The following is a 12969-nucleotide window of genomic DNA, read 5'->3' as shown; positions in this document are numbered from 1 at the left end:
AAAACAAATATTCTATCACGATTAGGAAAGACCCTATAACAACTCAAAAGAAGACAAACCCCCAAGTTTTCATCTCTCCAGTCAAAATGATGATAAGATCCTCTCTCAATGGCCTCAGAAACACAAGTGAGCATCTCTGGCCAGTGACTCCTCTTTATTATGAGGATGATGTCACCAGAGCTTTAATTTTCTCCTGTACTACATTTGCTGGAAGGAACTCAGCTTGAAATGTAAGGATGTCAGAGAACAATAACAGTAATTACCACTTATATAAAGCTTTGTATTTGCCCCATGGTTTAGAATCATTAGCAATTCCTTACATGGGCAGCTGGTCAGGGTGATTACCACTCAAGTATTCCTGGAGGAAAGTCACCTGTCTTGATTAGAGATGGAAATAGGATCCCAAAGGATTTAACTTAAATGCTTTCAGTTCCTGATGCTTTAAATCAGAGGCAATTGTAAATATTTTTTCATGTTAAGAGCAAGAAATTTACTTTAACCAAAGGGATCAAAGGTCGGGCACGGTGGCTCACCCCTGTAATCCCAGCACTTTGGGAGGCTGAGGCAGGCATATCATGAGGTCAGGAGTTCAGGACCAGCCTAGCCAACATGGTGAAACCCTGTCTCTACTGAAAATACAAAAATTAGCTGGGCATGGTGGCAGGTGCCTGTAATTCCAGCTAATCTGGAGGCTGAAGCAAGAGAATCACTTGAACCTGGCAGGCAGAGGTTACAGTGAGCCAAGACCTAGCCTCTGCAATCCAGCCTGGGCAACAGAGTGAGACTGTCTCAAGAAAACAAAACAAAACAAAACAACAAAACAAAGGGATTGAAAGTCGCAGGAGCAGAACTGGAGTGAGTGAGAGGGAGGAGCATTTCAGTTACTCTTCTGAGACCTTCATCTAGTTTCATTGCATATGAGTGACCACAAAACATGATTTCAAAAGCCCCACTCCTGCTCCCCATCTCTGGATATCCTCTCTAGAGTAAGGGCAGGGCAGCGTTCTGGGTTTCTCATTACAATTTTTCCCCCTCACAATTCCCCACCCCCATAAACACACAACAAATTTAAACCCTGACTGGATAACAGCACACTAAGATATTTTCCAAAAAACTTACAAAGAAGATAAAAATGTCCCATATAAAAATATAATTTTGATCAGCTCTGAATACCAATGATTATCACTTTAGCACAATATCTTCAGCAAGGTAAACAACGCAATACAAAAATGAGCAAAGAATATGAAAGGATAATTCAGTGAAGAAATAATACAAGTGGCCAATAAGTGTACAAAAGAGCTCAGACTGGCTGGGCGCGGTGGCTCACGCCTGTAATCCCAGCACTTTGGGAGGCAGAGGCGGGCGGATCACGAGGTCAGGAGATCAAGACCATCCTGGCTAACATAGTGAAACCCCGTCTCTACTAAAAATACAAAAAAAAAAATTAGCCGGGCGTGGTGGCGGGCGCCTGTAGTCCCAGCTACTCGGGAGGCTGAGGCAGGAGAATGGCATGACCCCGGGAGGCAGAGCTTCCAGCCTGGGCGACTCTGTCTCAAAAAAACAAACAAACAAACAAACAAAAACAAAAGAGCTCAGACTCATTCTTAGTTGAAGAACTGCAAATTTAAACAATGAGGTACCAACAGGTTGGCAAAATGAAAATATTAGTATATATAACATTCATAAAGTGGTGGGAAAACAGACTTATTTACTGTTGGAAGTGTAAGTTGATAAACCTTTTTCAACGGACAATTTGATAGTATCTATTACATTTTTAAATATGCAAGCTTTTGATTCAGCAATTCCACTTCTAGGGAATTTATCCCGCAAAAATAACTGACCAAAAAAAGCATAGAGATGGTGTTGTTTATAAAAGAAAAAAAATGTAGAAGCAACTCAAATGTTCACAAATAAAGAGTGGTAAACTATGTGATAGTACATCCATCATATTCTACATATGGAACACTACTCAGCAATTCTAAAGAGGCATTTTTATAGAGACTGACATGGGAAGATGATCACAAAGATTTCTTAGTAAAAAAAAAAAAAAAACCCACAAATGGACTAACTCTGTTTAGTCCATTTAGACTTTTTTCTCTCCTTACCCTGAGAGGCATACCAAAATAGTTACCTCTCAGGGTGAGGAAAGAATTTAAGTCTTTATTTTATGAGTTTAGTATTCTTGGAATTTTTTTTTGCAGCAAGCTAATATAATATTTAGAAGAGAAATAACAAATATATTACCATGCTCTTCTTAAAAAAACACCCTACAACAGATAAAGCCTTCTAATTTGAGTTAATACAGGAAATGGACTGGCTGCTGTATATTTATATGTTTATTTATACATATGTAAATAAAGAGCACCCATAGTCAGTGCCTCAAAGAAGACAACACATTACTTGTGGTGGAAAGCAAAACACATCACTCACTGAGCTTTCCTGTTACATCCTGGTGACCATAATACCTTCAAATGGAAACATCACAAATAAATATAGATAACCTGGATTTTTCCAAAGCTGGCTATACATAGGCAACCAATCTTTTTCATACAATATAAGATATCTAGCTTTTATGAGATATAGTGTGCCATGAGATATAGTGTCCCAGTCTTTAATGCCATACTTAGGATACCAAAGCAACGTCCTCCAGCCTGGAGAATGCCCAACTTGTGAACCTGTGTGTGTACGGAAAGGCAGCTCTTGCTTGCTGCACTCAGTAATATCAGGTTTTTCTGGGGACAGTGAACTGCTTCCTATGCCACTGTGCTCTGTGTTCACCTGCATCTTGGCACCTCCACGTCCCATGTGCGGGAGGAGAAGGGTGGTATCATGCTCTGGAAACTACCTTATTCTCTTTCTGCTGCACGCAGCAGGCTTATGTGTTTGTATTTGGTGAGATTTCCTGCTCTACCTTCAAAAGCCTAAACAAAAGTAAAGTTCATACTAGAACTGAAATACTGTGCATTTGTTACAGCAGTATTTTCTACTTTTTAAAAAACTGTGAATATATGCATTTCATTCATGAAAAAAAATTTATAAATAATGTTCCAGTCATACAAATGCAGTCTGATCCTTAGGGCTTCCTAGTCTGACAAGGAAGGAGACTTGTAAATCAGTACAATAAGTACTGAGTTCAAGGTACATTCAAGGTAAGTGGCAACACAGGGGAAAATAAACAACTTTCCTGGGGCAGAGATCACAAAAAAGGAGCTGTTTGAGCAGGATCTTAAAGGACGAGTAGAAGACTGCAGCTGCATAAAAAATGGAAAAACTTTGTAGGCATGGGAAAGAGTCTGTGCAAAAAGAGTAGAATGGCCCAGTAAGGTAACTTGGAAACAACAGTAGCCTTCTGACAATGCAATCAGGATTGTTTGCATAGTTTACAGCACATCAGAAAATCATTAACAATTAGACATGGATACCTAAACCATTTCAATTTAACTTTAGTCACAATACAACTTAAACCACTCCTCCGTCTTCAGAAAATTTCTGCATAGGCAATACTTTCACATAGCTCAAAAATAAAAGTATTAAAAAGTACACAGTAAAAGGCTTGTGTTTCCTACATTTATTTCCCCCACCCTTATCACCTTACCACATGTAATTATTATTAGTTTTTAATGTATATTTCCATAGTTTATTAATGCATCTACATATATATGTATACACACACTATTCCCCCGTTTTGCACAAAATATAACATGCTATATACATTGCTCTCTATTTTCCATTTTTTCCCCTAAGTGTATTTGACCTGTTGGATCAGCACTGATAGAGCACATAGGGACTCCTACAAAGCAGACACTATGGAAAGGCAGAGAGATTTAAGCTAGGTACTAGATCTACCCATGTGGATAGAACAGGTTCCAGAGTGGGGTGGTGTGAAATGATGGCAAGATCTGACTGCTGATGAAAGCAGAAATTTGGGACAAGGTAGGTCCAAGGGCTCAGCAATCTCTAATCACACCAGATGGCACAAGTCATTTAAAATGACATCCCAATAGAAGTGCTGGGGTGTCCAGATGGATGACACTAGTAAGTCCTTTAAGTAAGTCACTATGGAGAAGTTCTAACCTTAGGTAGTGCTATGGTTTAAATATTTGTCCCCTACAAAACTCATGTGGAAATTTAAACCCCAGTGTGGCAATATTGAGAGGTGGGGCCTTTAAGAGGTGATTGGGTCATGAGGACTCTGCCCTTATGAATGGACTAATTCATTGATGGATTAATGAACTAATGAGTTAATGGGTTAATAAATTATCATGGGAGGGGAACCGGTGGCATTAAAAGAAAAGGCAGATAGACCTGAGCTAGCACATTAGCATGTTCGGTCACCTCTCCAAGTAATACTTTATACTGCCCTGGGACTCTGTAGAGAGTCCCTACCAGCAAGAAGGCTCTCACCAGATGTGGCCCCTCGACCTTGGATGTAGCCTCCAGAATTGTAAGAAATGAATTCCTTTTTCTTATAAATTAACCCATTTTAGATATTATTTAATAAGCAACAGAAAATAGACTAAAACAGTTAGTAAACCTCCTAATGGCAGGGTTGTGGGTTGGACTTCAAGATCTGGGGAGGTCTTACTTCTTGTAGGATGATTTGAGAACTGTGCTTGGTGAGATTAGCAGCCTAGGTGACTTGAGACACAATGTGGGTGCCCAGTGATAATGTTGATGTATTGTGTCCTAGGCCAGCCCAACAGTGGAGGAGTCACAAGATATGGCCCAGGGGATGGAGCAGGTTTGGGGTGAGGTCAATGAGTCTGAGGCCCCTTAAATACTTTATATTTTAGTTTTGGTTTAGTCTAAGAAACGAGGTGAGATTGGGTATTGGGCACTGAGAGAAACACCAGTGGACCTTTGTGGAACAGGCATAAAGAGAAAGAAGAGGAAATAACAGGAGTTAGAAGAGAAATGAAACAGAGGGATAGATCACCTCTCAAAGTGACCACCTACCTGGGAAACATGGAAAACAAAAGGATTAGAAAATGTTTTTTCCTCTCTGCTACCTCAACCAATGTTTGTTGAACTGAATTGCTCTGCTTATTGACTAAATTAGAATAACCAGGCTAGAAACTGGCAAACATACTACCTCTATAATTATAAGATTAACTGGGCAATGAAAAATGCTGTTAAGGCCAGGTGTAGTGGCTCATGCCTGTAATCCCAGCACTTTGGGAGGCTGAGGCAGGCAGATTATTTGAGGTTAGGAGTTCAAGACCAGCCTGGCCAATATGGTGAAACTCCATCACTACTAAAAATACAAAAAAAAAAAAAATAGCTGGGCATGGTAGCACATGTCTGTTATCCTAGCTAGTAGGGAGGCTGAGGCAGCAGAATTGTTTGAACCTGGGAGGCAGAGGTTGCAATAAGCCAAGATCACACCACTTCACTCCAGCCTGGGCGACAGAGTGAGACTCCGTCTCAAAAAACAAAAACAAAAACAAGCTGTCAAAAACAATAGTGGTTAGAACCACTGAGATAGTTGAGAATAAAGCAGATACTTCTTTGTTTTGGATGATTTGGGAGCATCACAATCTCAAGAGTGAGATTAAAGATTCACAGATGTTTCCTGAATGATGGGGCAGACAAGCATCACCAAGAACTAAGATTCAGACAAGTGACTTATAAAGGAGCAGCAGTGATTTAGCAATAGTCTATAGATTAGAGTTACTTTTGTTTTGAGGGGGAAGGAGAGGCTTAATTTTCTTCCTAAAAAGTACACACACAAACTTCTACACATGCACACACATGCACTAGTAGAAAATGGGAAACAGCAGCTTTATTCAGGCCACCAAGAAGGAAAAGATCCAAACGGTTAAAGCAAAAAACCTTTTTTTGCTTGAATTAATAAAATAATTACTGTTTATTCCATTTTACTTGTTTGAATGTGAGGCGAGAATAATTGAAAATATGACAATTTAATTTATAATCACTATAGTCACATATAATTTCTAGATGAAAATAAGTGATTAGAATTCAAGGAGGATTAAAATATTTTTATACTAGAAATCATTGAAATTCTCATTAAGGCAAGTACTCTCTTTGAAGATATTATATTTTAATTAATAATACATTACTCAATATTCTTGTTCCTTTTTTTTTTTAAAGAAACACTTTAATTCATAAAGGGTATCTCTTCATGTCCTGGAAATACCTCCTCATAGTGGAATCAAGACATTTGCACTTCCAAAATGAGTTAAGCAATAAATATAACATAATAAATATAAGTAGATATATGAAAATAAATACAAAAAACACATAATAATCTACAATGTTAATTCACTCTTATATGCAAAGAGTTATCCAATTCGTGTTTGTCACATAATACATGATATGTTTTTATTTAATGATACCACTTTCTTATGCTTTTCTCTCGTGAAAAAAATGGTCTGTTAGAAATATAAATATTTTAAATAAACATACCTTCTACGCTAAAGCCAACTAAATATTTAATGCAATTGTTTAAAGGAAAACTTGTTTTGTATAAATAAATATACAATCCCTGATGATTTTTCTAACTTAAGATTTAAATTCTAGCAATATTCTAATTTGTAGTTACACTTTTTCCTGTAGTTGTTGTATATGTAAATTTGAGAGGCAATATTGTATTTGTAACTATAAATCCGTATTTGTTTATACAAGCAGGTATAGTAAATGTCTTTTTCTTAAGGCTAGTCAAGTGAAGCAGTGGGAGTGGAGAAGGAACAAAGAAATCTGTAACTGGTTGTGATCAATTAGTTACAAACACCACTGCACTCGGACCAGCATGTTTTCTAATTTAATTGAAAGATTCAATACAATATTGTCTACTTTAAGAAATGTTGTTACAACGTGTTAAAAATAGTATACAAATACAATAACATAGAACATATGGAACAGTTATAAAAATGGGTAAATTCTGGTTGTTTTGGAAAATGTAAATTGCCTAGCTATAATGCAAATTAAAAATGTGAGCATTAGTTTGAGTAAATAGATATAATTTATTCTGCCTGGGAAAGAAGGTCATTGGTGGTCCTTGATATAACTCCCTCCGCAAACCTGCTGAATCTTGCAGGAAATGCTCAGGCTCACTGGGGAGAGTGGATTCAGAGAAGGGTAATTTGGAATGTATGGGAGGTGCCCCTGGCACCCTAGAACTCACTGTGAATATAAACTACCCAGAATCTAAATGGAGTCAACATTTGTTTCCCAGTAATATTGGCCAGGGAGGTGGTAGTGGGGTGTGTGTGTGGGTGGGTAGGTGGGGTCTTGCACTTCTGAGCTAATGGTTCAGTAAATCTCTCAGCCATGATCTCAAGAGACAGAGTTGAAAACACATCAGTGGGGAAGAGAAAGGCTGTTGTACTGCCTCTTGCCTCCTCCCGGCCCTGGTATGATATGCAGAGTGAGAAAGATTAAGACAGCCAGGGCCTAAGAGAGCAAGGGTGAAAAGAGAGAGGGGAGAAGGGATGATGGAGATGGGGAGAGAGGGAGACAACAGGCAGATGGTAAGTGGCTCCCAGAGCCAGTTCTTCTGTTGTAGAGATTTTGAGCCTCTCTGAGGTGGAGGGTGTGTTACAGTGAGTAGAGAGTAGAGACAGCGCCTGGCTGACCCCATTCCAGTGACACTTAGAGACAGGGTCGCCTGAACCACACTCTGCCTCTCCTTGCTCTCTCAAGTTCCTGCCCTTCTTCTCCCTGCTCCGGCTCCATCCCTACACTGGGATCCCAGTTCATCTGCGGCTTCAAGCCTCCGCCTCTCCCAGGTATACCAACTGGCCTCCTTCCTTCCCTGACATTTTTGGCTTGGCCTTGGGGCTGCTCCTGTGGGCAGCCCAATGCCCAGAGCTTTTTGCAAGGGAGGCCACAACAGACCCTTCCTTGCCACCTACCTCAAGGAACTTGTTTTTTGCCTCAATTCTGAACACTGCCACGAATTTTTTCCTGGACTTCAGCAGACATTATAGGATATGTAATTGCATTATGCTCAAATAATTATTTTTGTTTTATGTTATAAAAGGCATACTTACTGAAGGAAAAATATAGGAAACAACTTGAAACTCTGGCTAGGGCCAATGACTGGGTTTATCAGGGTTTTTTTTCCCCTAGTTAAAAATTATTTCTTATAAAGAGAAAAGAATAAAATGTGAAACCAACTTGAAAGTAAGTATAAAGTACGGTAAGCCAGTTTACTTAATTTTTTAAATTTAAATTTGGTTTTAAAATTCAATATCTTATAAAATGTTTTATATTTCTGGTACCCTTATTGATATTATGCTATTTTGAGTTACCAAGCATTCTGTATTGAATTTCACTACCTACTTTTGTCATGTTCTAATGAAATATAAAATATAAGCTAATAATCTCTTCATGTCCTTTTTACTGCTTTTCATCACTAAGTAAGCTTTAACATTTTTTAATTGTGGTAAAATACACATAACAAAATCTACCATCTTAACCATTTTTAACTATACAGAACTATGCAGATCAATATATTAACTACACTAACGGTAGTTTAAGTACATTCATATTGTTGTGCAGCCAATCTCCAGAACTCTTTCTATCTCATGCTAAGTAATTTTTTAAACCGTTAATATATGGTATTACTAAAGCAAATGTCTTTTGGGATGGAGGAGAGCATTTCTTTCATGACAAATATATTTCACTATTAACCCTCATTGATCTTATAATAAGTTATAACAAGAAATGTATTATACAACCTTCAGGCCTGGCAGCTAAACTAGCTCTCACTCACCCTGTGACTAAAGATATCATTCTACTTTCCCATCCTGCAGACAAGTAAGTGCATGAGTAATGTCTTTCTACAAGTGAAGGAATGCAGTTAACATGAGTACATTTCTCTATCTCCCACCTTGGAGAAAACTTTTCTTTTAAGGCAATATAATTAAGTCAGAACTTTCTGTACAAGCATCTAGATATTAAGAAGTAACTATTGATAAAATAACTGAAAATGCCTTACAGTAGAAAAAAGCATAAGTGCTTTTTATAGGAAAGAACAATTAATTCCAAATATTGACATCATATTAATCTGTATGCCTTTGCATTAAAGCCCAGTTTGTATAAAAGAAAAAAGGGCGCGCAAAAGGCACCTACAAGGAGGAAGACACCTGAAGGCAGCAAAAAGCAAAGAGTCAAGTTCATTTATTAAGCTCATTCTTTTTTTTTTTTTTTTTGAGACAGTCTCACTCTGTCACTCAGGCTGGAGTGCAGTGGCATGATCTCAGCTCCACCACAACCTCCACCTCCTGGGTTTAAGCGATTCTCCTGCCTCAGCCTCCTGAATACATGGGATTACAGGTGCCCGTCACCACACCCAGCTAATTTTTTTGTTTTTTTTTTTTTTTTTTTTTAGTAGAGTCTGGGTTTCATCATGTTGGTCAGGCTGGTCTCAAACTCCTGACCTCAAGTGATCCGCCTGCCTCTGCCTCCAAAAATGCTGGGATTACAGGCGTGAGCCACCAGGCCCGGCCAAGCTCATTCTTTATTATCATGGTGCTTTGATATATAATGTTATATATGATATATATAATAATTATATAAAAATAGATTACATAATAAATTATTATATTGTTAAATATAATTATATAGAAAATTACAGAATACATATTATATAACATATATTACATATGATATATATAATTTATGATATACAATATATACCATTACTTTTAAGTATGTGTTTCTTAGACAGGCTATCTTACAGTGCTTTAGCTCTTTAAAGGGTTTATTCTTGGGAGTCAAACATTAGAAATGAAGCATTACCTTTTTAAATATTCCAGACTCTAGAAGTAAGGAACCAAGCGCCTCACTGGTGGTGTGGAAGAACTGGGATTCCCCACAGTGCAGTGGAAATTCCTGGGAGTCTCGAACCACATATTTTCCATCGACTACATCCAAAGCTCTGCAAAGAACGGAACCACAGTCATGTCAATACACTATGAACAATGCCAAAATCTCAAGAAACCCAAAGGCATATTTCTCCATGTATTAATATATTTCCAGTCAGCCCAAATAATGAATCATTCTTCAAAACCTACACGGCGTTGTAGATAATTTGGCGCTCTCATAGCACATTTATAAATAAACCTGGATGACTTCACCCTGTGCCTAACTGAATTCTTTTAAATCCTATGCAGAAAACAAATTAGAGATAGATAGAGGTAGACAGAAACTAGATGGAGAGACAGATTTTGGCATGAAAGTAATCCAATTTCATTTTCCAGTTTCCTGGTTGTTCTATGTCGTGGCTTTTAAGAAATAACAAAAAGAAATTTGTAAGTTTCCTGAACACTGGAAATAAAGTGGGAACTGAATCCCAGTTAGAGAAACAATCTAGACTATGCCAGGAAATGGGAACTGTTCCTAGGATTATAATATTTATCAGATTCAAAAGGAATGGAAACTAATAAAGGCAGAAAGAATGTTTTACAGACTCTGATGGTTGCCTACCCCAAAGCCATTCCCTTTATCCAACCCTTCACTGTTCTCCCACCTCCCCCATACACACTGCCTTTGCTAATAATCCTAAATTTGTTCAGCAATTCATCCTCCATATGCCTCAGAGAAAGCTGCTCCCAGCCCCAGTAGTCAGTCGGGATTGCTCTAACCCTGGTGTCCAGTTTCCCTCACCAGTAACTGATTTAGGCAAATGCCCATATGTAACTGTCTTGCTTATGTTACCACATTGATTGATGTCTCCCTGACCCTCTAAAATGTTCATACTTTGCCCTGCTTCTCTGGCCCAGTCCTGACCAATGGGATGTGAGAGGCGTCTGCTGAAGAAATGGGGGAAAAGGTCTTCTACAAGAAGAGAAAGTTTCCCTTTCCTGCAGGCCAGTGTCATGCCTGCATGTGATGAATATGATAGAACATCTTGGGACCATGTGCAGGATTAGCCTAAGGAGACTAGATTGAGGAAAAAGCAGAGAGGAAATACCTATCTCTTGATTTCTTGAAATGAGAAGCAGAATTACCTATCTCTGGAGTTCTTGTTGTGTTAGATAATAAACGTCCTATTCTTCAAGCCATTTTGACTTGGGTGTTCCTTGCTGTCTGCAGTTGAGCATCATACCTGATCCAAGGTTTGGTAGATTTTGTAAGCACAGGAATAAAGATGCCAGAGCAGAATGACAGCTTTGAATGAAGAATGCCAGTAAAGTAGAAAGAGAACTAAAAATGCAAGACCTCAGCATTTCGCAACAGAAACGGAAGCTTTTGTGGGATTTCTACAATGTTGCAAGGATATAAAGAGGAATAGAGCAAAGTGTTAACACTTTAGAAGGGCAGGAAGATCTAATCAATATGGTAATATCAGCAAGGGAGATATAGATGGGCATAATTTGTGGAACTCTATTGTGTACTTTTTTTTTTTTTTTTTTGAGACAGAGTCTCACTCTGTCACCAGGCTGGAGTGCAGTGGCATGATCTCAGCTCACTGCAACCTCCACCTCCCGGGTTCAAGTGATGCTCCTGCCTCAGCAGCTGGGATTACAGGCATGTGCCACCACACCCAGCTAATTTTTTTGTATTTTTATTGGAGACAGGGTTTCACCATGTTAGCCAGGCTAATCTCGAACTCCTGACCTTAAGTGAGCCACCTGCCTCAGCCTCCCAAAGTGCCGGGATTACAGGCGTGAGCCACTGTGCCTGGCCCCTGTACATACTTTTTTAAAAAGTCACTATTGTTTGCATTATATAAAATGTAAAGGTACATTAGCAGCAATATATTTCTTTTTGTTTTTCCTTTAGTTTCATACTATGAAAGTAATACTTGTGTACAGTAAAGACAATATATTATGCCATATATAAACACATATAAAAATACATTTCTACCTGTGAGGCTAATATCTTCTTAGGAATTTAAATACAGTATTTTTGAAGGGAAAGAGAAACACATATAGCTCAGGAGAATTTAAGTAACAACTGAAAAATACCTTAAAGTTGAAATGCTGTCATCGTCTTACCATGAATGTGTCTTACATCAAGACCTATTTTTATTAATTGTTCCAGTACCCTAAGTTAGTGTTCACCTTGTCCTTCTGCTCACAAATATGCCAAAGAAGTAGCAAACAAGAGAAGACTCCTAGGACTTGAAAGCTTATTCCAACTGCTGTGGACTTACACATTGTCAGCCATTCAAGTACTAACCAGGCCCGACCCTGCTTAGCTTCTGACATCAGACAAGATCAGGTGCATTTAGGGTGGTGTGGCCATAGATTAGACTTACACATTGTGAAAAGTCAACCACAAATGTTAGGCAGTCTGCTCCCCTTAATAGTTTTCCTTTTTGGAAAAACATATGTGCCCATTGACTGACTCCAAGTGACAAGAGAGATAAAAGCAATCTACCTGTGCTTCCTAAGCTTTGTATTGTCGGAGACGGGCACTCCAAAAAAGACCTATCTCTTCTTCCTAGATACTTACGTATTACATAATTAAAAGCTGGCAAGTGTAGCCTTTTCTATGTATTTTGCTTGTGATACAATCCCTGCTTAAAACATAGGATCCTTTTGCCTGGAAATAACAGTCCAACTCACAGAAGCCTGATAAAAAACAAAATATATTATCACATATAAAACAAAAGGGGTAGACTGAGTTGGTTTAACTAGTGTATTCCTTTGCTACTGAATTTAGTCACTGCTACATTTCTAGCTGTCACATAGAGGTATGATAATTCCTTCCTGTGTAACTTGCTTAGAAGTGGGGGAAATCTCCTCTAGAAGCCACCTAGCAGGCTTCTTTTCATACCTGCACTAAACCGATCACTGGACCCAACCCTTTGAGGCTGAGACCTGAAGGACACTACTGTGCAGAAATTAGACACCTGAAGAAGCTGAGGTTCAATTAGGAAAAAAGGAGAAGGGAGAGGGTAGAAATGGATGTCGATGTGCATTCTATCCTCTCCCTAGCTTTGTCTTGAAATATGTTCCCCACACTTGCTACACTTTGGGAGAGGTAGAGATGACA

The 12969-nt window shown here is 38.5% G+C and overlaps 1 protein-coding gene, 1 long non-coding RNA gene and 1 pseudogene across 3 annotated transcripts in view, besides 1 other annotated feature; 1 reads left to right on the top strand and 2 right to left on the bottom strand.

The window, feature by feature from the left end:
* Positions 1–12969, bottom strand: part of CRYBG1 (crystallin beta-gamma domain containing 1) — a 211301-nt gene that overhangs the window by 110420 nt on the left and 87912 nt on the right. For both annotated transcript variants that reach the window (XM_047418270.1, NM_001371242.2), the window contains one exon: positions 9766–9904. In XM_047418270.1, the coding sequence (XP_047274226.1) occupies positions 9766–9904 (139 nt within the window). The remainder of the gene's footprint in view (positions 1–9765; positions 9905–12969) is intronic.
* Positions 43–692: an enhancer, noted in NCBI's record as "OCT4-NANOG hESC enhancer chr6:106908781-106909430 (GRCh37/hg19 assembly coordinates)". NCBI's record gives its function as "activates a minimal SCP1, AML or CMV promoter by ChIP-STARR-seq in naive H9 embryonic stem cells {active_cell/tissue: H9 hESC(naive)}" and the evidence as "EXISTENCE:reporter gene assay evidence [ECO:0000049][PMID:30033119]".
* Positions 4350–10102, top strand: LOC105377924 (uncharacterized). The gene is made up of 2 exons (NR_134603.1): positions 4350–4444; positions 9783–10102. It is a non-coding gene; the product is annotated as an uncharacterized LOC105377924 (long non-coding RNA).
* Positions 12101–12217, bottom strand: RNA5SP211 (RNA, 5S ribosomal pseudogene 211; annotated as a pseudogene).

The sequence above is a fragment of the Homo sapiens genome, chromosome 6 (assembly GCF_000001405.40).
Source record: "Homo sapiens chromosome 6, GRCh38.p14 Primary Assembly".
In the NCBI taxonomy this organism is placed as follows: Eukaryota; Metazoa; Chordata; class Mammalia; order Primates; family Hominidae; genus Homo; species Homo sapiens.
This window is presented reverse-complemented; position numbering and strand designations above follow the sequence as displayed.